This window comes from Homo sapiens, chromosome 15 (genome assembly GCF_000001405.40).
Source record: "Homo sapiens chromosome 15, GRCh38.p14 Primary Assembly".
Lineage (NCBI taxonomy): Eukaryota > Metazoa > Chordata > Mammalia > Primates > Hominidae > Homo > Homo sapiens.
Window position 1 is genome coordinate 94,071,531 of NC_000015.10, and position 26,510 is coordinate 94,098,040.

The 26,510-nt window shown below is 40.1% G+C and overlaps 2 long non-coding RNA genes across 2 annotated transcripts in view; both read right to left on the reverse strand.

Moving 5' to 3' along the window:
• The window catches only part of LINC01581 (long intergenic non-protein coding RNA 1581), a 202,536-nt gene that overhangs the window by 166,128 nt on the left and 9,898 nt on the right, over positions 1-26,510 (reverse strand). The window contains exon 2 of the long non-coding RNA NR_120320.1: positions 10,745-11,825. This is a non-coding gene — a long non-coding RNA (long intergenic non-protein coding RNA 1581). The remainder of the gene's footprint in view (positions 1-10,744; positions 11,826-26,510) is intronic.
• LOC105369203 (uncharacterized) overlaps positions 1-26,510 on the reverse strand; it is a 35,447-nt gene that overhangs the window by 7,541 nt on the left and 1,396 nt on the right. The window lies entirely within an intron of this gene.

Here is a 26,510-nt window from a genome sequence, read left to right on the forward strand (position 1 = left end):
CAGAGGGGTGGACAGAGGCACTGTGCATCTGCAACCTCAGTGGGAACACGAGAGCGGAGACAGACATGGTTGCGGGTCATTTTTCTGAAACGCGTTATGGGCAGTTTCCTGAATTTAAAAGAAAAAACTTCTTATAATGTGACTCTAGGGTATGCAGAGTTTTTCTGGGACCCCCATAGTCAGCCCTTGAGATGAAGATGAAGACTCTTCAGCCTACCCCCTTGTATTGAGCCCCATTCTCTGAGACACTCACTGTAGGTACCTGGAACATCAGGGGTTCTATGAGTTAACGTGATCTGGGCTTGTTAGCAGTGTGGATTCTTTGAACCGGCCTCTGGGAGTGGAGCTGAGGATAATAACTAACTTTTATGAAGCATTTCCTATGTGCTAGGAAATGTTCTGGGAATTTTCTAAACATTAGCATTTGCACTCACTCCCCACCACACCCCATGAGGTAGACAATTTTATATTTATTTTATAACCTGAGACTTGCTGAGGTTAACTTCAAGCATGTGGCAGAGGGAGAATTCAAATCTAAGTCTGTCTGACTTTAAATGTAATTCTAATTGACATTTACACGTGTTTTCATTTAATTCTTGTTATAGTCCTGATATTATCTTCATTTCATGGATAATCACATTGAGATCCCCAAAAGATTAAGTAACTTGTTGAAGATGCTGTGGCTACTGCACGGCAAAGTTAGAATTCTCACGTTGTCAGGTCCACTCTGTGGCTCGGTTCTTAATGGTCATGATAAGTGCACACCCAACACCTTCCACTTCCTCATACGGCCTTTCACGTAAGGGAGAATTTTCACTTTGGGCATGGGAAGGCCTTTTGAATAAATTGCCTGAGAACTCTTCACATGTAATATGTACAGAATAAGGCCAGTATAGTCATCTTAGCAAAGGGGAGCAAGAGTGCTAGAAAATGACTTAGGGAGGGCACAGATTATGTAAATTTGTGTAGATCCTGAGAAGAAAAATTGTGAACAGAAATTTGTACTAAAGCGAGAAGATTGAATCTAGTAAAGGGCAGAATGATGGCCAACACGGTGAAACCCCATCTCTACTAAAAATAAAAAAATAATTAAAAAAAAATAGCTGGGCGTGGTCACACACGCCTGTAATCCCAGCTACTTGGGAGGCTGAGGCAGGGGAATTGCTTGAACCTGGGAGGAGAAGGTTGCAGTGAGCAAAGATTGCACCACTGCACTCCAGCCTGGGTCACAGTGTGAGACTCTATCTCAGAAAAAAAAAAAAAAAAAAAGAGATTAAGGTCTCAGAACTCTAGGCTCCAGAATTAACAGATCTATTATTTGGTCATCTGCTTATAGAGAGATAAGAAAGATTGAGAGATGGAAAAATAAAAAGGGTCTCATGACACGTCAGTGGAAATGGCTGATTTGACTAGATAAGCTAAGAAATAGGCCAACTAATTAGGAGAAAGCATGTTTGCATTATTTTCTTTAGATTGGAGGAAGTAGAGGAGTTTTATAAAAATATGGTTCTCAGGTCACCTGCATCAAAATCATGTAGGGTAACAGAGGGCTCCGTAAAATGTAGATTCCTGGGCCTTTTCTTACACCCACTGAGTCAGAATACACAGGTAGTGACCCTCAGCATCCCACAGGATTGGTCTGTGCTCTTGGACCTGTTTCACTTTAGGTAGGGGTTATGTTTTCAAGCTCTGAGATCAGGATGGATTGAGTTCCAGTCTACAATTTCACCACTTTCTAAAGGACCTTAGGAAATGACTTTTCCTACTCCAGTCATTGATAGTAGTTATCACCCTCGGGATTTTTTCCCCTTTTGCTGTATTTCTATGCACTAACATCACTAATAAAATATTTTTTAAAATATAGAATTTTACACTAGGTTCTGAGGCATGGGCTGTGGCCTGGAAATCTGTATTTTAGGAAAGGCTCCTTCAGTGTGTCTGGTATGTGGCCTGGAGTCACTGGCAGTGATGTAATGAATGCAAAACAATGAACACGATGCTTAAATACATTACCCAGTACCACTATTGGTATCATTCCATTGTTATTTGGCCACTTCTTATAAGCACAGCCCAGGGGCTTCCAGCCAATCAAGAATCTCCAATGAGAACAACTTTAAACTAAAGCCCCCATGGTAAACCTAAGATATAAATTGGACAAAAACTATTTTTTTCCAAAGAAAAGTTTGTTTGTTTTTTTTTTTCTTTTGGGCTGAAAGTAGAATCTAATCTAATTGGGCATCAGGCATAGAACCAACATGAAATTCATAACCTCCAAGTCTTCAGGCTTAAAAGTGTACTTGCTGATTGGAGCAATAGGAAGAGACCATTTGGCAGTGATCGTGTGCAGTGTGACTGTGTGATAGAAACTGTGCACTTGTGATGCATCCCAACTGCATAGTGGGCGGCACCCTGCAATCCTCGGACCCCGTCCTACTGCCCTTGGTAGGGTGTGGGAAGTTACCCAGACAGAAACAGGAAAAGTATAGGAAGTTCCTTCCCAGGAACATAGGCATTGGAGGACATAATTTCCCTCTTAGATCCCTGGATTGTGGTTCAGAAATGTCCACAAGCAAAGGCTTAGAAATAATTTGTGGAAGTGTGTTTCAGAGCTGACCCAGAAATAATCTGGTTTGACAGAGGCATGAGGGGCACACCTTTGAGAGTATACTTCTTACCTTATTTCCCTGAGAATGGCAGAGAATTGTGTCAAGCATTCATCCCAGAGAAGCCTCTCATAGGAGGAATGGCAGCCTCTCCCCTTAATCTGAGTACAGTGATGGGAAAGCAATGGCTAGTGTTCATTGAGTACTAGATTGTATGGCAGGTACTATATTAAAGGCTCTGCTTTCCATTGTATTTCAATCTATCTACAAATTCTGCAACATATATATGTATGTATTCTAATATCTATAATATATTATAACCTTTTAATGAATAATAAATTTATTCATAGGGTTAACTAATTTGGTGAATATTACCTAGGCTAGTAAACAGAGCCAGAATCTGAATTAAGAATAGTCAGATCCCAAAACTCATGCCCATTCAATGACAGCACGTTGACTCTAGTGTAGAATTTAGATGGGCTGATGCAGCTACAGAAGAAATAGAAAATGCAAACCTGCCTTGATGAAGGTTGATTGGTTAATTCTCTTCATCAACTCTAGCATACGAAAAAAAAAATTAAAAGCAGAAAAGTGCACGATCATGTATCTTCCCAGAGAACCTGCAGAACAATGTTAATTATATATAACGGTTTTGAATACAGGTCCCTGGATTTCAATGCCCACACCATGCCTTAGTTTTTTCAACCATAAAATGAATTTAATGTAACCACTCCCCTTTCAAGGCTGTAAAAATTACACATAGAGGTGACGCACTACAAAATCCAAAAGGCATCATTATATTGTGATCACTGTATATGGCACCCCTGAAGTGGTACACACAGAAGCCCTGTATATTAATATTTCCTACAGAGAATGTAGTAGCATAGCTGCTCACAGCAGGTGCTATGGTCTCTAGTGTGCTGCCTGGGACATGAAAAGCGCTCATTATGTATTTTTTGAATAAAAGAATGAATAAATAGGGTATGTTACTTATGCAATTAGTAGACAAGTTTTGATAAAGTGGAAGAAGGTATGTCAAAAACAAGAACAGTGAGAATTAGATTGTACTGAATCTTGGCTGCAAATTAAATATCTTAGGTTTTATTTTCTAATTAATGCGGAGCCAGCAAATATCTCTGAACAAGGGAGTGACATCCTCAAGGCAATTTTAAAGTTGATTAAGGGGCAGTAATTTATAGAATGGGGTGAAAAAGGAGACCAGTGATAACAGAGTATAAACATCCCAGACATGAGCTAGACGGCCTCTGACGGGATGGAAAGAAGGGATTAGTATGAAGACGGGACAATACGTGCGTAAGCAGGCCTCTCTGAGGCAACCAGGATAAATTATCTTCTAAATGCACATCAAGCACGCTGGGGTTTGGCCCCAGTTCTGCCCTTGATGCGTTTTGTGTTTTCAGTAAATGAGGGAAACAAGACCTCCTTAGGGACTCCACTCTCTTACAGCCAGAATGATGTCACTGGTTCTGCTGCTTGCTAAAATCACTCTGGCTGGAGCCTCCCATCTGTGCAATTCAGAACAAGCTTGGGTGGACATAGAATGTGTTGTGAACCCGCCTGCAGGCTGTTCCACACGCCTGTCTCTCTGTGGATCCTGCATGGGAAGCCAAATGGGAAGATTACTTCATTATCTTGTTTTCCAGGGAATCTTGTTTGTCTGCTCTCCCTTATTTATTTAAGGATGCTTAGGTGTGAGAGGGAGATAAACTGTGTTTTCACTGTAGCCAACAGTTTTAGCTCTGCGCTTTTGTCGCCATCAGGTCAGGGCGAGGTCGAGCAATCTGCCCATTCTGGTTTCATTCTCTTTCCCTCATTCCTCCTCCTAATGCAACTAGAGAGACCATAGCAAACACACATGCGCACACTTAACCACATGATCACTCACATTCACACTCAAAAGCTCACTCATATTCTCATTCAAACACTCATGCAATTCACACTCATACACACTTAGGCATGCATACACAAACACCTATGCACATGCATGTTTATACACTCACACACACACTTATACTCACATGCTCACTCATGCACACATACATTGACTCACTCCAACACACACACTCAAACACCTATTTCTTCATGCACACTCTGCCATAGTTCTTACTGCATGAAGAGAACAAGAGTCACACAAGTTCACCACTTTGCACTTCATAGAGAAGGTACATAGAGACATTGCAAAACCTGTCTCCATTTGCTATCCTGATAATTAAGGTTTTCATAATACCTAGGGCCTGTCTCTGAGTAATTTTAATTTTGCCAGATACACTGACATTTAAAATAGTGATCCATCTGAATTGTTTTCAACTGGATTTTGAGGAAGATAAGAGCTTTCAATGAGAAAGGTTTGTTGTGGTAGTTGTCTTATGTGCTGAATTTGCAGATGATCAGATGCTGTGCAGAATTCTGACTTATTTTTGTTTCCTAAAATTAAGATAGCTTGAATATTATTTCACATTCCTTTTTCTTTTTTAAATAAACAGGTTTGCTCTGGAAAGTCTTAGTGATGGAATGTTAGCATCTTCACTAGGGTAAAGAAGAACAAAAAGAATGTTGCTGGAACATAAAATAGTATTTAAAAGTTAATGAACACTTCTCTAGTTTTCTTAGTTATGGCCTTAATAATTAGTCTCTTGGCTTAAATGTCCACTGGTGTTACTGTGACCCAGTCAAACAACACTGCGGTTAAGTCTCTGGTATTTAGGCTGGCAATATATATATTAACCATATTTTAAAATTACCAATTTTGTTTTTACAGAAAAGATAAAACTCAAAAGAGAACAGTGTATTCCTTTTGAGGGGCTTTTATAAATTATTGACTATAATATATGATGGAGTTTTTCCTAATTTTTAATATTTCCTTGCAATTTTGGTGGCCATTAATTTAACTTTAGGCTTTTGGGCCTATGCTAGTCTGAGCTTCCAAAAAGATACATACATGTTTCACTTTTCATTAGCTGAATGAGGATATTTTAAGAAGTTGAAAGAGAATTTATTTTCAAGTTGTGAGTAAATTCTCCTTTGAAATTCACCTGATTATTAGATAACTTGAAGTTTATTTTTAAAAGCTGACAACTTTTTATGAATCTTCGAGTTGACAGTTCCTAAAAGCGTAACTCAGATATCAATGGGCTGTGTATTAAATGGTTTTATTTTCAGTTTTGCAATACAGAACACTGTTGAAATATCCATATCAACTTGATTTTTTTAACCTTATTCAGGTGTCCTTTGACGTCCCTTAAATGTTGGGGGTGGGGGTCAGAGCCAGTTATCCGGCTTCTGTTTTGTCGATTGCTTAGATTTGTTCCTGTTGTCAAAACTGTCGCCCCCCAAATTGGTGTGACACATGCTCATGCATAAAATGTTAAAATGAGTACATCCTTGTGTTTGTATTTGTTTTCAACATCGCCAAGGTGCTACGGGAAATTATAGTAACAAAATTAGAAAAAAAATAAAATTATTGAAAAGCAAAAAAAAACCCCACAAAACATATTTCTTCATGCATACACACACATGCCTGCACACTTACCCACCCTCATGCACTCACACACACAATCACACATACACATGCTTACTCACACACACTCTCATTTCCATGTACAAATATTCTGGAACATACACACTTGCACACAGGCTCCTTATATGGAAAGCGGGCCTGAGGAGTTTGGAATTTTCCAGCAGAGGATTGTCGAGCATGCCTGTTGCTCTGACCTAGGGCCATTGCAGACCAAATAATCAGCTCGACTGTTGCCCCTCGGCTCCAGCAGACTGGAAGCAACATCACATGGATGGAAGTAAGGTTCAGAAATCTGAAAATAACTCTATCAGGTTGCAATTTAGGATTGAATGTGGTAGCCAATCCAGTGGCGAGGAATGTCCAAACCAAAGCTCCTTTTCTAATTCTCTACTCAAGTCTTCATTTGCAGAAGCACCAGACTCCCAAGGGGACACACTGCCAGGAAGGCAATTAAAACCAGCCTCTATCTAATTAAAGCATAGCTGCCCTACCTTTCTTCCCAAATATGTTTGCAAATTTCTTGTAATTAAATTTCTCCCTCAAGGAAAGACTGCTGGGTTGCTCCTGGGAGAGAAAATCAGTGGCATGTGGCCAGCAACTTCCAGATCGTTCTGCTCTGATGAGGCCTGAGATCCCTGCTGCCCAGGCAGGTGAGGGCATAGTAATGTGGTCGCAGTGTTCCATGTCCCTTACCTTCCCATCTGATTTAGTCTGGGTCTTTGTTGTCACCCAAATCTCATGTCAAATTGTAATCCCCAATGTTGGAGGTGGGGCCTGGTGGGAGGTAATTGGATCATGGAGGTGGATTTTTCATGAATGGTTTAGCACCATCGCCTGGTACTGTTCTTACAATAGTGAGTGGGTTCTCATGAGATCTGGTTGTTTAAAGTATGTGGCATCTCCCCCCACGTTCTCTTGCTCCTGCTCCCGCCATGTAAGGCATCTGCTCCCCCTTTGCCTTCTGCTATAATTGCAAGCTTCCTGAGACCTCTCCAGAAGCAAATGCCAGCACTATTGCTTCCTGTACAACCTGCAGAACTACGAGCCAGTCAAACCTCTTTTCTTCATAAATTACTCAGTCTCAGATATTTCTTTATAGCAATGTAATAATGGACTAATACACCATCTCTCAGGAAGCAAAATGCACCTTGTCCCAAGGATCCTTTAGCAGAAATGGCAGACGAGACCATATGGTGATGTGGAAATGAATTTGGAATCAGGAGGTCTGTCTTGGAGGCCGGCTCTCTCACTCACATTTTTGCTTGTTGCTATTATATTTATGTATTTATTTATAGCTGTCCTCAGTTCCCAAAGAATCTAAAGTTTCTGTATACAGACAAGTTAATTAGAAGAAAAGAAAAACTAGCTCAAAGAAAAGAGAAAGCAAATATGCCATGCATGAAGGCTCACAGAGTTGCAAGAATTGCCCTCTATTGGTTGTTCTGGTCTTGCTGGGAGCCTAGAGAAAAAGGGGAGCTTGAGGAGACCCATAACCCATAATCATTAGAGACAGGGACCCTGACTCTGAAGAACAGATGATTTCTTGTGGATTTTTTTTCTGTGCACAAATTCTTAAAAGATCTAACATGAAGTATATACTAGGGGGTATTGATAAACACACTGGACAAATCTCTCAACATTGATTTTTATGCCATTCATTACTATGCCTGTTGGGACAAACACTTGGATGTTTTCTTTTGCTTTTTTTGTCAAGTGAGGCTTAAAAGCACCACACCCAGGTTAGTTGTAAATATTAAATGAGATCATACCTAAGATAGTACTTTATCAATAATAAATGTAGAGACACAATTACAAGTATAAGGTGTGAGCATCAGTTCACATTGTGTGAGCCACATAAAGTTGGGGGAGGGATCCTGAGTTTCTGTGCTTTAATCCTTATTCTGGCAGGCAGCCTGCCTTTCTGTCAGGACACAGTCCCTTTGGGTGGCATAGGCTTTCTGGACAAGGAGAGGCAGGTCTTCGGAAGGAAGAGCTGACTCCTCAACAGCTAAGCTCCTGTAGCTTTGCCTTGTGAGACTGGTGTCCATTCCAAATAGGATGTTGTTGGAGCACTTTTGCAAGCCAGTCAGCCTGCGTAGCTAATAAAGTCGTCACTTAATGTCATCTGTCGGTTCTTGGAAACCACAGCATTAAGCAAAATGATGTGTAACAAAACCAGTTTTATCCTAGGCTAATTGATATAAACAAGAGTTAAGTTTCTACAGCGTATTTCTGGTCACAAAAACATCCCCAAACTCCTAAATAAAGACCAAAACACAATATTCAACATTGAAATACATGCAAGCTATACATACGTCGATGAAAGATTAATAAACACAATGATGATGATTGATTACCCAGTTATCCCAGTTCAGGGTCTCAGGTGGCTGGAGTCTATCCCTGCAGCTCAGGGCTCAAGGTGGAAGCCAGCCCTGGGCAGGACACCATCCCATCACAGGGCACGCTCACACCCACACCCACGCTCCTTCACACTGGGACCATGTAGACTAACCTAACATGCACATCTTTGAAATGTGGGAGGAAACCAAAGTACCCAGGAAAAACCCAGGCAGAAATGGGAAGAACTTGCAAACACAGATGGTGGCCCTGGCCAGGAATTGATATTTTTTATTTTTTTTCTCATCAATGTTATAAAAAGACATTGAATGAAAAGATGTTATTTGAGGACCTGCTGAAGTTTTATTAGAATTAACAGCAATGTATTTCTAGATGCTTAGAAAAGAATGAGAGTGACCTTAGCATGGCTTCTTGCAGCTGGAAGCTTTTCTGGTACACCCTCCGGCTCCTTTGGTTTTCGGTGACCTGTTCCTTAGCTCAGTAATCAACCACAAAGCTTTCACCCACAGCAAATTGCTCAGCTCTGAACCACACCCTTCAGGGAGGGCTCCAGCGAGGTTCTAAACCAAGTTCAGCTGGTAATTTCACTACAAATGGCTGCAAGTGTCGAACCTCCTGGGGCCTGATTTAATAGCTCCGCCTCCCCACCCCCTCCTCCTGGGCTAGTCAGAATCCGCCTTGATCGACAGCTGGAAAGGGGGGTTGGAAGGCTCTGGGCTATGCGGTGGGTGTTTTTTTTTTTTTCTAAAGTTCATATTTGTTATTTGGAAATCTGTGATTCATGCTCATAAATGGGTGTGTGTGCAAGGGAGAGACAGGCATTGAATGGCTTCGATTTTACTTTCAGGACTGGAAGATGCCAGCAAGCACCGTTTGCCACTCTCAAAGTAAGAGACTTGCAGCCTTTCTGAGTGGAGTCCAGGTGACTCCACCGTGAGGCTGCACACTGCTCGGCCCTTTCACGATTTACAGAGCCCTTTCATAGGCATTATCTAGAGCTTTGTCTGAGAAACTAAAGTTAGCACTTGGAGTATCTTTGCCTTGAGTTTTAAGTCGCAAGACAGGGTCATGTACTAAGTTGGTACAAAAGTAATTGCGATTTTTGGCACTAAAAGTAATGGCAAAAACCGCAATTACTTTTGCACCAACCTAATAAATACCAGCTCTGAAAAGCGGACTCCCGGTTCTGAAATAGCAGCGCGGAGACTGTCCCTGGCCGGGACCTCTGTGTGGGGGTCCACAAGAACCAATGAAGCACAGAGAGACAGTCTCCCTACCCTGATCTGCAGTTGGAATGCTCAAGGATTCCATTCCAGAAGGAAATGAGTAACATCCCCGATTTAGGGATCAACGTATTATTAAAATAGCCACCCTAAACAAGCAATGGTTACAATGCGGCTTCAGTGTCAGGGAAAGGCACATGGTGGCCGGGGCTGGGTTCTGCTGACTCAGTGTGTGCTTTTGGCAACTTGTCTCCCCTCCTCTGGGCCTCAGTTTTCTTCTCTGTAATGTGGGAATTATAACCGCCTCACAATGTTGTTATAAACATGTAATGTGATTCTTTTTTTTAGTTGCTTATCGAAGAGTCTGGACCATGGAGGCACTCAATAAATGACAATGCTTTAGTAACCATCCTCGATGCTTATGTGTTTTCCAAACAGCATCTCAAATACTTTTATTTTTTTATTTTCTACTAATTGCCTTCAACACAGCTCTTTTTAAAAATCACTCTTTGCAATGATGCAATGCCATATGGGTCACATCCTATGGCATCTATTTACCTCCGGTTATTGGAACGGTGTTTTTACACTATGCCAGGCTTAGCTCCTCCCATTTAAAGCCACAGTCTCCTACCCTCCCCTGCCTATCTGGTTGGCCTATCCTTCAGTGAGGAGGAGACGTGGTCTGCTAGTTCCCTTTGCTTCCCCTCTCTCTTCAGGGTCTAGAAGCTCTGAGAGAGGAGAAATATTTTCCCAAGAACTTCTTCCAACCGTGCTGGCAGCAAAGCAGGTCTGCAATTTTCCACAGTTACATGGCACCTGGCCAGGGGAGACTTAATTCCCCGTTGTTTCAAACACCCCCAATCTTTAATCTTCACTTGGCTTAAGGTGGAGAAATCTTATTTTTTCCCATGTAAACCACACTAGACCCTCGATATCCCAAATATTTTGGACTCCAGATATTCCCTCCTGTGCCTGTCCTCCCCATAGCCTGCATTATAGACTGTTGTCTGAGAAGAGGTTACCTGGGAGGAGTAGATTCAACTGGCCTCCACCAGGAGTTTGTGGTCCACTCTGGAGGGCTCTTTGGAGGTTCCTTCTAGGTCCATAGAGCAGAAGTTCTCAAACTGCGGCCTGCATCACTGGTTGCCATGTCCAATGTTTCTGACGCAGTAAGTCTAGGCTAGAGTTCAAGATTTTGCATTTCTGACAAGTTCTCAGGTGAGGTTGATGCTGATGGTCCCAGGACTCACTTTGAGAACCGCTGTGCCAGAGAATGTCAATTTCTTCACAGTTCTTTTTGGCCTCACTTTTGGGCATGAGGAAAATTCCCACTCAGCATCCTTTTAGGTTGACAATGCTGCATGGCCAATAGTTTTAGTCCAGTTTTATAGATGAGGACATTGAATTTTGAAGAGATTAAGTGATTCGTCCAGAGTTGCATAACTAATAAGCGAGACTCAGATTTGCCTGACTCCAAACCCCTGACCCTTCTAATCCATTGTGTATTTTCATGGACGGAAAGGGATTCCAGCAGGAGGCAAAGTAGTATTCACTTCTGCGGGCAGAGGAGACCCGAGCCCGGTTAATCAAAATCCTTCCCCGACTCTGTGCCCATCCACAATTGATTGATCAGGGGTCACACCTGACCTGGGGAAACTCCTGTTTCTTCCTCATCAATTGTGTAGACTGGGTTGGAAAGAGAAATCTCTTTAGTCCCTGGACTGGAACATGTAAAATTCAGGAGCTCTTGGCCATCCTTTTCTGTCCTATAGACCTATGGACAGAGTACTGATCTACAGCTAAAGAGGCACGAACCCACACTCTGTGGAAAAAGTCACCAATCCATGCAGGCTCCCCCATGCTCCAATCCTGGCTCCAGTCCATACATCCGTGGCCTTTCTGCTCTTGGCTTCCATGAAATGGCCTAATGACGTTCTAATAACCTTCTCCTACTTCTAACCCCTTTTAGCTTTCCCATAGCTGCTTTGAAGTAGTTCTCCTATTACCCGCAGCCTGTAGCTTCTTTACTCACATAGTATATATTGTGCTCATATTCCACACATCTTTATAGTTTGGCATTCTGTTTGAAAGATCCGTAATATCCTAGAAAAATTATAATGACTGCTTTATTAGTTATTTTTGGCAGAAAAGAACATGGCAGCCAGATTTATTTTTATTTATTTTGGGTTTCCCATCCTTGGAAGAAATGATGAGCATGTTGTAAATGTGTATGTGGGGGAGGAGGGCGCCGGTTCGCCAGTGTTGTGCACACAGCCATAGACCAGACCACACTTAGAGCTGTGCCTAGGCAGAGCCTGACTGTGCCTGCTGCCAAGTCCCTTGAGTCCTGGTCTGCCGGATAATGCTCTCAGGTGTGCCCTAAAAGTCTGGGAACATGACATTCCCTCCTCTAAAATCCTCCCTGCATTTGAAAGCTCTGAGCAGCACAAGTATACTCCCAAAGTAAATTCCTTCCCACAAAAAACCAAAATAACACCATCAATCAACTGGTCTTGTTGTTCTTTTTAAAAAGCTCATGTCCAAGTTGGTGGGATTAGCACTGTGTTATTGCCCCATTCAGAGCCACCCACAGAGTCTTCCTTAGGCCCCCTGGCTGCTCAGGAAGCCATGACTCAGCTGGGGAAGCCAACTGAGTGGCGAGGTCTTTTAAGGGTAATTTAGCTGAATGTAGAAGCACTGATTTATTCTTTTTCCTCCCCCAGATAATGAACACTATGCCTAAGTGCTCCTGAGCTAGTGACAGAACTGTGAGTATCCTGCGCCTTCTCTACCCTTGCCTCCCAGACTGCCTCCTGAAACACATCTGCACATAGCTGATGAACATTGTTTTCAGAGGTCCCTATTTCCCTCTTCCTGATTCCCCTCTAGGCTTGCTCCGGTATCCTGTGAGAACCACCAGTACCAGATGGAGCCTGAATAGTCACAGGTCAAGTTTAGATTGGAAGAAGGGAATGAGCTGGAATAATAACTGCCTAGCACAGAGTAGGAGATATCATTAGTTGCTGGGCACGTGTGTGTGTGTGTGTGTGTGTGTGTGTATGTGTGTGAGAGATAAGTGGTGAAGTCAAGCAGATGAAGGTGTGGCAGGGCCACTGCATATAGCTGTGCAGGCCCTATCCTGCACAACTCCAGGAGGCACCATCCACATAAACTATGGTAAAAATGACACCCTCCAGGCTATACCATGGGCCATCTTTATCCAGTTTCTCCTTATCTACTTTGATTAAATTTATTCTTATGTCCCTGGTAAGAAAATGAAAGAAAATATTTTAAAAAATGATTAACCACGGTAAGACTTTCCACTTTATGATAAGCCAACAAGAAAATAATGCATAGATGAGCCAGCCATACTGAGAGAGTTGGTGGTGTGCTGGAGCCCATCTTGTAAGAGCCAATTCTTAGTATCTCTACCCATCTACGTGTTCAGTGCTTTCATGCTGGTAACTTGAAATCGGCCATGGTGGGTTCTGCACCACAGAAATTGGCCTCCCAGCTGTCTCTGTAAGAGGCAATTGTTTATCCTTTGCACAGCACACTGTTGGGCATTAGCCACCTCTTGCCCTAAGTTTCCAATTTCTGTCAGGGACTAGGGTTACTTTAAAATATCTTTATTTTCATAATTGCTCTCCTTTGCTTTGTATACCCCATAAAACCTGCCCTTGTCATACCATGGACTCACCTGGGACCCAGCACTACGGCAACTCTGATCCATAAGTCAAACACATGAACTCTCTGTCCACCTTAAGCACATAATCAAGTGACATTTGGCAGGTAGACAGTATTCTAGAAATGTTTGCAGGGGGTTGGTTATCTCATAATCCTTCAAGCTTTATAATTGACTAAAACTTTGTAAACCTGAAAATGTTTACCCATAAAGACCAGTTTAACTTTTCTAAAATTCTTCAACTCTATGAAAGTAAAAGTATGTTACTTGTGTTTTGGAATAACTAAAAAGTCACCGATTCTGGTAATATTTGATCCACATTAGCTCTAACAGTATACCTTGATGTTTTTAATTCTTAAACTGATATCTCTTTCTGTTTGGTATGTAAGCATTTTCCCTGGAGTCATCCATAGAAGGAGGCTCTTATCTTTGCTACTGGATTTAGATATTTTGTTTTTTTTCTTCAGTTTATTGTCAATGTGGTAAGCCATAATTGTACTGGTAATAAGCATTTACATGACAATTTGCAAATATTAATGAGTAAATCTAGATGACCTGCCTTTAAGATGCTTAAAAAGAAAAGAAGGAAGCAGTTTAAAATGTCTCTTAATATCATAACCTTATGTTCTTTACCAAGAATTGGGGGGGAAAGGCATTTCCAATGACCTGTACCAAATTCACTCATCAGTTGGTCATGAACATGTGTAGTTTCCCAGAATAAAGAGGAAAATTCTCAGAGCAATATATTGTGTCAAACTTTTCTTCCCCTCTTACAAGCATTTATTAAGTTAGATTATAAAATATTATTTAAAGTGGTTAATATGATTCAGAAATTGAAAACATGTTTCTCCATGAGAAAATAAATTGTCATGTAATTTGTTGAGTGTACTATTTGCCAGGCACAGTGCTATGCTGCAATCCACATGCATTCCCTCGTTTGGTTCTTACATGAACGTTGTGAGGGCAGTAGTGCCTCCTGCACAGATGAGGGATTTGAGTCTCCAAGAGGTCAGCTAGCTACTTCCCAAATGTCCCGCAGTGAATCGGTGTCCTTCTTTAGTATTCATGCAAGTTCCATAATACATATTTATGTCATATGTATTAATCATACCATGGCCCCATGTAATTGTAAAATCATATATGGCAATAGATTAATATAATCCCAAGGTAGAAGACGAACAGAAAAAAATATTCTTTTTAATATCAAAAGCAGAACAAATTTTGGTCTTTGTGGAGTACTGAATTTTTCACTTGAGAAACCAGAAAAAAAAATCCAATTTTTTTCTAGTTTGTGAACTTCTATTGGATGCTTTTCCTAGCAGTTGTCTTCAAGAATGGGCAAGAAAATAACAAGTTGAGCGTACACCATCACTCAAACTCTATAGGAACTCCTTGCGTAAGAGTCACATTGTCTGGGGGAGGGCAGGTGCTTACTAAAGAAAAAAAAAGCTTTCTTCACAAAACAGTAATAATCAGGATTCTTAAAGTATCTGGAAATATAACAAACACTGCAATCAATGAAGATGTGTTTGGATTCAACTGTCAAACTTCCTGAAGATGAAAAAAATGGTATGTCTTCAGTAATAACAATATCTGAATCATACAGTATACATCTGGCAGACATTCTTTCCCAAATGACCCAGCTAATCCAAGTGCATCTCTTCTTAAAAGTACAAAGCAAAACCAAGTAAAAAGCCTATTAGGAAAAGAGAATAATTTTGCTGTCAGAAAATTCATACTGCTGCAAATCTCTTGGATTCAAGGCACAAAGTAATGAAAGTGAGCCTCCACTTCTACCACCTTTGAAGGGACTGTGAACAGGCAGGACCTCTCAGGATCTGATGTTGTGAAAGTTACTTTCAAAGGTTAACAACTGTTAGACACTTCTAAGGGGTCTACCCAGGAAAGCAGCTGGCCAAGGATAGCAGAGATTTTACTTAATATTGTCTTGGGTTCCTTTTCTAGTTTTTTTTTTTTTTTTTGAGACGGAGTCTCACTCTGTCTCCCAGGCTGGAGTGCAGTGGCGCGATCTTGGCTCACTGCCAGCTCCACCTCCCGGGTTTTATGCCATTCTCCTGCCTCAGCCTCCCAAGGAGCTGGGACTGCAGGCATGCACCACCTACGCCTGGCTAATTTTTTTTTGTATTTTTAGTAGAGATGGGGTTTCGCTGTGTTAGCCAGGATGGTCTTGAACTCCTGACCTTGTGATCCGCCCGCCTCGGCCTCCCAAAGTGCTGGGATTACAGGCATGAGCCACCACGCCCAGCCTCCTTTTCTAGTTTACTTCAGAGATCTCCGGTTTCTGTATCATGCAAAAATTTTATTTGTGTTTTGAAAGTGCAAAGTTAAGAAATAACAAGCATGGGAAAGAGTAGATAATTAAAGGTTAGAGTAAGAGAGACTTTTTCAGCCTATCTAGATGTAGCGCCTCCATTTGAATATAAGGAGACCAAGAGTTCTCAGCTTCGGGGATGGGCCCAGGTCACAGAACCCGTTGGTATAGAACTTGATTCTAGGTGTCTCCCCTCACAGAAAGCTTCTGTGTACCTTGCCTCTATAAAATAAAACATTGCACGTCAGAAATCGATAACAATTGCAAAGCTCCATCAAACAAGAACTTTGATAGCAATAGCTAAAAAATCAAGCTGATTAGGCAAAGCTGGCTTAAGTTTATATACTTTTCCTTCTTTTTTAAACTTTATTTTGTTACTCAAAGGTGTTTTACACACCTACGCAACACTGAAGAGAAAAGGTCAGAGCTCAGAGTACTTTACTGTTACTTAAACTACGATACCCCAGACATATTCTACAATTCAGTTTGTTTGTTTGTTTTTGTTTTTTTGAGACAGAGTCTCACTTTGTCGCTCAGGCTGGAGTGCAATGGCATGATCTCGGCTCACTGCAACCTTCGCCTCCTGGGTTCAAGCGATTCTCCTGCCTCAGCCTCCCGAGTAGCTGGGATTACAGACACATGCCACCACGCCTGGCTAATTTTTGTATTTTTAGTAGAGACATGTTTTGTCATATTGGCCAGGCTGGTCTTGAACTCCTGACCTCAGGTGATCCACCCACTTTGGCCTCCCAAAGTGCTGGGATTACAGGCGTGAGCCCTGTGCCCAGCCTCTACAATTCAGTTTTGATTCTCAGAATATGACTGAGGCTTCCGGCGTAACAAACATGAAATCTAATGAAAAGTTAGTTCACTTGGAAAACCTACACTTCAATAAACAATAATATATTGAAACATAGTTATACTTCTAAATTCCATATGCCCAATATTAGTAAAGGAACCAAATTTTACAACTATTATGTTTCTAACTAGAAAACACAATAGTTTTTACCATTTCATCATGTTTTCCACACTTCTCAAGATTGAAAATACAGATTTTCTTTGCCCTCATCCCTTGAACATTTCTGTATGTTTTAGGTGCTTAGTGGAAAGTGTTGAGGTATATCTTTATAGTGGAAAACAGCACTGTGAATATGTGGCACACCTTTACAGCTAATTTGTCCTGCTACACATTTAAACCAAGAAGTTCTATAAAATTTGGTCATATAAAGGAATCCTGGCCAAAAAAAAAAAAAGTGCAGGTGTATTTATTATTACAGATACAGTGAAGCCAAGATAGTTATGTAGCTTAAAGAGAATGCCTCCATCCTAAGGGCACAAAAGCAATGAACATAGCAGTGCATTTTTCCCCGTAAACCCTTTACCAAATGTCCATTAAAATGCATGCCGAATGCCATAAGTCCATTCCGTTCTTGCCCTATAATTAACAATTTATCCAGTTATTTTTCAACAACAAACATCTTTATAAACGTCCGATACAGAGAACTGGGATTATTGAAAGCAAGTTCTGACAATTCCATATTCTTATCTTATGCCGCATAAATGCAGGTCATCAAAATCCTCAACAGAAGCATGTTTTCCCTTAAGGTAAGCATCTGGAGCTGGCAGCCCAGAGAAAAATCCTGAACTTCATTGGCCTCAAAGATCCTGTGTTCATTCCACATATCCTGAATTTTACTGCTGTCACATTAACTCTGCCTCAGCCCTCTGAGTATAGGAGTGCTTTTGAAAATAACATCAACTTTGCCAATAGAAAGAAGACTGCAGTCAGTGCCCAACACCCCAGAAACCTTATTAGGTAGGTTCCCCGATGCTGCAAGGTGCAAAACAATGCATTGCCACACAGATGAAAAATTGCTGCCATTTGAACAGTGCTTTAGGAGTTTACAGGGCAGTTTTACATTACTTAGGTGCTTTAATGCTCATCTCCTCCTCTACACAGCCTCAGCTGAGCCTTGGTGCTGGGCCATTGCCCTCGGGTCTAGCTGGAACCTCTTTGCCTCAATGCTTCTCAAGGTCTACCTAGTCACCCTGCCAGATTCTGATGATGGCTGGATATTCTTGATTTATTTTACTCTTGGCTCCTGTCTGAGGTGGAGTTCTCCAGGACACAGACACTGAGATGAAAGTAGGTGTGAGAGAGGTTTACTGGGGAAGAATACCTGTGAAAAGAAAAGGATGGAAGCAGGATGGGGCAGGTGGGGCTGTCACAGTATTGGGCACGTCTCCACCAGCCTTGAAGCATCTTCAAGCAAAGATTGAAATTTCCTGAGGGGCAGAACTGGAATTGGACAGCCCCTTGCATCATTATGACATATCATATAATCTATGTTTCAGACTTAATTAAAACATAAAGGGATATATCTTTTTGATAATGCTACAAGTTACCTTTCCCCACAATAGCTACTTCTTTTCAGGCTTTTTCCTCATGCATTGGTCGGGAATCACCTGCAAAGGATCTGCCCCTGGCTATCCCCGCCTTGCTGGGTCATTGACCAGGGACACCTGAGAATAGCAAGGCCTCAGCTGTCAGGTAACTACAATGCTGGTGGCTGAGCAGCTGGGACAGAACCAGGTCAATGCGTCTCCATGTCTACCTCGGCTCCCAGCCTCTAGATCTTTTTGAGAAAGTCACTTTTCACCCAGATTTGATGGGAGCTTGCAAGTAAACCTGGAAACAGAGGTAGGCTAGTTAAGCTTAGGTATCTACATCTTTTTAACAAAAAATTAAAGAGCAATAAGGTGAAGTGACATGCCCCAAAGCATACAAACTTGTAAGGGGCAGAACCAGAATAAAATAAGATAGAGCTGCGGAGCTACTTACTACACAGTTTCCTTTATAAAACAATATTTGCCAGCTGTTATCAAGGCTGTTGACAATGTGCCTGGCTCTAGGCTACAAGCATTATATATAGGCATATCATTTAATCTTCACAATCACAGTGAGATAATATTCATAATCTCTATGTCACTGATGAGAAAATGGACTCTTGCAGAGGATAAAGGATTTTTCCCCAAGTACATAGCCAGTCGTGAGAGAAATAAGACTTGGACCCAAGTGTGGCCCCAGCACCTGTCACCTTTAATAGCATGTTATCCTTCCTCACCATGACCATCATAGCTGTGCTTGTGTATTTCAAATGTAAGTGCCCAATTACCTGGATATTGTTTCAGAGCATGTTCTTTTGGCTTCTGTCAAATGTAACATTTCGAGGGCTAGCAGTCCAGGAAACTGTTTGTATACTACAAAACACTAAATGAAGGAAAATGGCCACCTTCTATTTTAAGAAAGATAGCTCAGTTAAACACACCTTAAGTTTGCAGCAAAAAGCACACATTCACATCTTTCTAGACACCAAAAAAATGATGAAAATAAGAAAACCATGTCAGAGATTCTTAAAGCACAAAATACTGTGTAGCATGTGAGCATGCCAGTTTCCTAATACCTGTTATACTGATGCAATAATAAAATATTGTTAGTTATAAGTAAATTGGATTCTCTTCAGCTTTTGCAGCCAAGATTGACCTCTTAAGCTAAAGGCTTGGTAGGCCTGAGACTTTAATAAACACTCACCGATGAATGTTCACATTCCTTAACAGTATTATTTTTCACATCAACCAGAAAGCACATCCAACAGTCACCAAATTTATTAACATCTTTTAATAGCAATCTGCATATGGTATAAAGGTGAAACAAGTGAACTTACAAAGATGCAGAATTCTGATCAACCACTTTCATAGAAAGATCTACATGTTCTTCAAGGTTGGTCTCACAGCAAAGCAGGCAATAGAAAAGAGGTATTTGCCAAGCATTGATAAGAAATCAACCCAAACTTAAAAATGGAGTAGACATTTCAGGGGTTTACTATATTAGCATGATCAGAAAAGTAAAGACTGAAATTATTGTGGGGAAAGGTAACTTGTAGCATTATCAAAAAGATATATCACTTTATGTTTTAATTAAATCTGAAACAGATTATATGACATCTCATAAGACTGTTAAAGGGTTACATTTGTGCTTTAAAGTGCAAGAAATAATTCTGACTGTTTAAAATGAATTCTCTCCTTTTTATGTTTTTACTAACTCTATCCTACAAAGTATGTATTTCTAAAATTAAGAACTCACAAATCCTCTTCTGGGTTCATTCTATACATATGTTTATTTCCCTTTAATTTGATGGGGCCAAGCTGTGGTGAAAACAGCTCTTCCTCCCCCAAAAAGGCAAAGATCAGCAGTAGGACCACACGGCAAAACTCTGGTAACAGCCAACAATATCACAGTGCCATTTAAGCAAAAGATTCCATCACGCTAAAGCGAGTAAAGCATTTTCTCTAAGGTGGATGCACAGATACCCCATTGTCCCTATAGTATACCATGGAGACCCTGCATAGGAGGACTCTGCGTGTGTTCCTTTTCATTTTAGGCACGATTCTAAAAAAGCAAGTCTCTGATTCCTGCTTACTGACACACCCAGACCCTTGCCCTGTACTCTAAGCATACGGTCTCTTCCATGAGCACTCAGTGAAGAGCTATGTTTAACTATTAGTCCGCACCATGGCATGAATAGTGAACCCCTTGAAGTTTGAGATTATGTCTAATTTCCCTATACATCATCTGAACATAGCTCCATTACTTGCATACACAGATTACAAAGAGTTCAATGAATGTTTGCTGACTGGGTGTGCTGGGAGCTAGTAAATTGAAAGGAGCTACAAAAGACAACGAGAAGGAGAATGTGATGTCATCAATCTGATGAAAATGGAAGGCAGAGGAAAACCATTAGAAGTGCTCACAAGAACTCTTTTCTTTAAAAGGAAACATGTCTAGTTAGAAATTTAGAAAACAGGTACATGTTAACTAAAAATAAATTGAAAGCTTACCCTCAATCCTGACACTTGGAGGTAATTTAGCGTGTTAGTAGTTGTTCCTCATGTTGGTATTTATGGTTTGGTCTTATTCTCTCTTTTTCTCTTGTGTTTTTATAATACTGAAAGAATATGTTGTACTTCATCCTTCTTCCCCTTATACTACATATTACAAGCATCTATTCATGTTATTACATAGTCTCCCATATCAATTTTTATGGATATATTTCACTACTAATTGTGACATAATTTAGTCAAAACCACCTCCTGTTTGGGGACACCATTCTAGGGAATTTTTACTTTTCCATTATTATGAAAACCGAGGTAGCTACTCTTATGGGTGGTGGTGTTATTTTTAATCATCATTGGCTGAGTCTATTTAATGAGAGATGGATAATTAGAGACACTGAAGGTATCCTTGTTATATAGATAAAGTCACGCACATAATAACAACCTGCATCCTACAAAAACAAAAATGATTACATTTATTTGGATTACTCATTCTTTTCTCCTTTGCTAGGCACTGGAAATACCTAGATGTTATCAAAAAGACAAAAGACAAAAGATAAGTATTGGTGAGGATGAGTGCTATGGTCAATCCTCATATTATACTCCATAATCAATAGAGGAAAACCATGTACTTCAAAAAGCTTTCTACTTATAAGTACTAAAGTGAAGAAAACCCTGGCTTACAACCCTGGGAGGATAAAAGAAGACATCGTGGCATCCGTGAACATATGACATGGGAAGGGGTGATACTGAGCCTCAGTGAGAAGAAAGAATCATGCACTAATGCCATGGAAAGTTACAATACTGAGTATTCTATCTTTCATGTTTCTTTCAGCTTTATTGATGTATACTCTAGAAACAAAAATTGTATAGATTTAAGTATACAATGTGAAGCTTGGATATGTGTACATATTGTGAAATAATTACCACATCAAGCAAATTAACACATCTATCTATCTCAAAAAAGTTTTTTTTCCTTCAGTGGTGAAGACACTTAAGATCAACTTTCTTAGCAAATTTCAAGTATGCAATATAGTATTGTTAACTCAAGATGCTGTGCTATACATTAGGCCTCCACAACTTATTCATCTCTAGTAATTGAATCTTTGTACCATTTGACCAATACCTCCATCACTTACCCCTTCTCCCACACCCTAGCAACCACAATTCTATTCTCTGCTTTTATAAGTTTGACTTTTTTAGATTCTACATATAAGTGAGATCATGTAGTATTTGTCTTTCTGTTTCTGGCTTATTTCACTTAGCATAATGTCCTCCAGGTTCATCCATGTTATTGCAAATGGCAAGATTCCCTTTTTTATTTCAAGGTTAATCAGTACACACACACACACAGAGTACCGCAATTTCTTTATCCATTCATCTACTTCTGGACACTTAGGTTGCCTCTGTATTTTGTAAATAATGCTGCCATGAACACAGGAGTGTAGGTATATCTTTGACATACTGATTTTATTTCCTTTGGATATATACCCAGAAGTGGGACTGCTGGGTCATGTGGTAGTTCTAGTTTTAATTTTGTGAGGAACCTCCATACTGTTTTCTATATTGACTATGCTAATTGATAGTCCCGCCAACAGTGTACTAGGGTTCCTTTTCCTCCACCTCTTCACCAATACTTATCTTTTGTCTTTGTCTTTTTGATAACCCCTATCTAACAGGAGTGGTTTTGATTTGTGTTTCTCTGATGATTAGTGATGTGGAGCACCTTTTTATATACCTGCTGACCATTTGCATATCTTCTTTTGAGGAATGTCTATTCAGGTCCTTAGCCAATTTTTAAATTGGGGTTATTTTATTTTATTTTTGCTACTGAGTTGTTTGATGTATACATATATATATATACATATACTACCATATATATATATGATATTAACTTCCTATCAGATATATAATTTGCTATTCTATCTTGCACAAATTGTATGGCTCATTGCAATTGGTTTGCACTTTCATCACATCTGATTAATAGTATCACTCAGTCTTCCCAGGATCAGATTATCCCAACTTCCGCATAGAAAACCTGAGTTTTATGCGCCTATGCTTGTTAACACTCTTCACCTTCTATCTGGCAGGAGTAATTGTAGATATTTATTTGCATATAAATAATAGTTGAAAGGAGTCTTACAGATACTCTGTATTTTCTCTATTTTAAAAAGCCTTTTTTTTTTTCTTTTTTGTAAAGGTTTAACAACACAAAGAGCCAATCTGTGATAATAAGACAGGCATTTCTTTATTCAGGAAAAAATGTATAGAAGACACAATTCGTCTCAAAGTGAAATAGAGATTTATGGTACATATTATAGAAAGTGAGGGTAAAAACAATGGCAAACATTACATGACTCATTCACTTTGAAACATCTTTCTTCCTACTTTTAATGCTATTAAGGGACTAGAATTGTATTCCTTTCCAGATCCTATCTAGGAGTTATAGGGGAAGCCATATCCTTGAAAAGAGACAGTGAATACATGAAAATCTGCTTTGTGTACATCTCTGGAATATTAATATTTGACACAGACAATGGATCTTTCTTCAAATTCAGATAAAATGCTATGCAAACAGAGCTTCCATACAAGTCTAAGAATAGCTCCCACCATAACCCCATCAGATTACCATCCTCAGTGTATTTTATATAGACTTGCTAGGGCTCTAACTGAAAACCAAAAATACTGGGGGAATCAAAAAATCTAGAACTATATTTTAAAGTTTTAATGGAGATAATTTCTATATAGAAATACAAATTGCCGGAATTAACACAAGAGATATTTTTAAATGTAGAGATGAATAAGAATAAAAGAAATCATTTTACAACTTAAATTGTCCCAGGAGGTAGCAGAAGAAGAAAACTTGCAGACAACTTTTACAACACTGCAATAATGCTGATAACAAAACTTAATATATACTGTCAGGTGAAGAAAGGTTACAGTACATCATATCCCTGATTGGGTGATTATTTTACTAGTATACAAAAAAGAAACATCAGAAAGAAAGATATATCATTGGGGTTCACATCTGAAATGTAAAGATATGCAGGATCTAACTCCAGAAATTCTGATTCAGTTGGTTCAGGATCTGACTCAGACACATGGGAGATGCTAATGTACAGCCATGTTGGAGACTACTGGGATAGTTGGTCTGATTCAAAGTCACGTTATATATTTTTTAAAGGCAAAGGATTATTTTAAAAATGAAATTATCACATAAAAATTAAATCATAGGGAAGCATTTGCTAACACATCATTAAAGCCCGAAAGTCTAAAAGAAAAAAAATTGCTCCATTTGACTATATAAAAATTGTTTTATTCGTCAAAGAAAAATCGCCATTGACAAAGATTTAGTAGCCCTGAAATATAAATATAAAAGATTCTTATGAATAAATCAGAGGAAGATCAAAATCCCAACTTATGTTGGAAAAAAATGAAGAGCAAAGAACCTGCAGTTGTATTTTATATTAAAATATACAAATGGTCATTAAATATACAAAAGTCTCTTACACACACACACACCAGTAGTAGAAGCAATGCAAAATAAAATAACAATAGGTAGCATTTTTTTTGAGACAGGAGTTTCGCTCTTGTCGTCCAGGCTGGAGTGCAATGGCACGATCTCAGCTCACTGAAACCTCCGCCTCCCAGGTTCAAGGGTTCTCCTGCCTCAGCCTCCTGAGTATCTGGGATTAGAGGAGCCCGCCACCATACTGAGCTATTTTTTGTATTTTTAGTAGAGACGGGGTTTCACCATGTTGGCCAGGCTGGTCTCGAACTCCTGACCTCAAGTGATCTTCCCAAAGTGCTGGGACTACAGGCGTGAGCCACCTCTCCTGGTCATAGGTAGCATTTTTAATGGAATAATGAAATTGTAAAGTAAAATGATTAAGAACATGGGCTTAAGGTTTGCAACTTCATTCTACCATTTACTAGCTACACGGTCCACAGGCAAGTTATTCAACTTCTCTGTTTTGTCATCAGTAAAAGGATTGTTGTAAGGATGAAATAAGTTTTCATATATGTAGTACCTATAACAGTACCCAGCCCACGGTAAGTGCCATTTAGCATTTTCTGTTGCTCACGCAAACGTTAAAAGCTTACTATTGTTGGCGAGAGTAAGGGGAAATATTCTCCTCGTGTGCTAGGGGTTAAACAAAGTCATACATTTATACTGAAGCACTAATTTATTCATTTATTTAATGATGATTTATTGGGTAACTTGCGTGCAACAGGGACTCCTCTGAACAGTGAGTAGTCCATAGTGAAGAGTGAACAAACAGATGAAGTACTTGATCTTATAATTTTTTTTTTTTTTTTTTTGAGACAAGGTCTCACTCCATCCCTCAGGCTGGAGTACAGTGGCATGATCTCGGCTCAGTGCAGCCTCGGCCTCCTGGGTTCAGGGAATTCTCCCACCTCAGCCTTCCAAGTAGCTTGGACTGCAGACACAAGTCACAATACCAGGCTAATATTTGGTGTTTTTGTAGAGAAAGGGTTTCACCATGTTGCCCAGGCTGGTCTGGAACTCCTGAGCCCAAGGTATCTCCAGCCACTTTATCCTCCCAAAGTTCTGGGATTACGGGGGTGAACCACCATGCTTATATTCTAATGGGTAGTAAGTAAATGTTTACATAGGTAATATAATAAAAGAATTATAAGGGTTATAAAGAAAAACAAAGAATAGGGAGATAGAGAGTGACAGAGGTAAAATGGTCAGGAAAGACTTTTCAAAGGATATGATATTTGAGCAGAAATTTGAAAAAAAAAAGAAATCCCTGAGAATGAGGAGGAGGCTTTCAGGCCCTGTGATGGGATGGGATCAAGAACTATTTTACTAGAGAGCACTTAGCAAGGCAAAGAGAAAGGAAATAAAGTTTGAGACGAAGGCACGGTTCAGAACATTCAGGGCCTTGTAGGACAGAGGATGGAATTCAGACCTTATTGGAAGTGTTGTGAAAAGTTTTGGAGGGTATCAGTTAGTGGTATGCTGGTAAATGTTTTAAAAACAGCTTTCCAGGGAAAAGAAAGTGATCTGTAGCATTTGCCAAACTCCATGGTGTGTATATCCTACCATGGCCAATTTCAGTATACTAAAGTGAAGTCACTGGAGGCGGAGTTAGTAAGAGATGAGCACCACTGGCTCTCTCCTACGTCAGCGCTGGCCAGCTCTAGTACATTGCAGCCACAAGAAAGTAAAAAGAGTTACATACTTTTTTTTTTTTGAGACAGAGTTTCACTCTGTCCGCCCAGGCTGGAGAGCAATGGCAAGATCTCGGCTCACTGCAACCTCCACCTCACAGGTTGGAGCAATTCTCCCACCTCAGCCTCCCAAGTAGCTGGGATTACAGGCATGCGCCACCACACCCAGCTAATTTTTGTATTTTTAGTAGAGACGGGGTTTCACCATGTTGGCCAGACTGCTCTCGAACTCCTGACCTCAAGTGATTCGCTCCTCTCGGCCTCCCAAAGTGCTGGGATTACAGGCGAGAGCCACCATGCCTGGCCTATACATTTTTTAAAGGATCATCATGAAAACAGGATGGATAACAGACCCTAAGGAAACAAAAGTAGAAGGAGAAAGGCCAGATAGACAGTGTGTTGTTAAGTAATACAGACAATAAATCAAAGTGACTCAGACTATGTTGGTAACACTGGAGAGTAATAAAAGCAAATGCCTACACAGTGTTTCTGAGGGCTAGACCCTGTTTTTAACCTTTTACATATTAACTCGTTTAATTCTCACAGCTTCCTATAAGTGAAATACTTTTATCCTCCTTATATAAATGAGGACACAAACATGGAGAAGTTACTAACTTGCTCAAAGCTAGAAAGAATGAAGGTGATTCGATGTCAATGACAGTTAACCCTTGAAGAA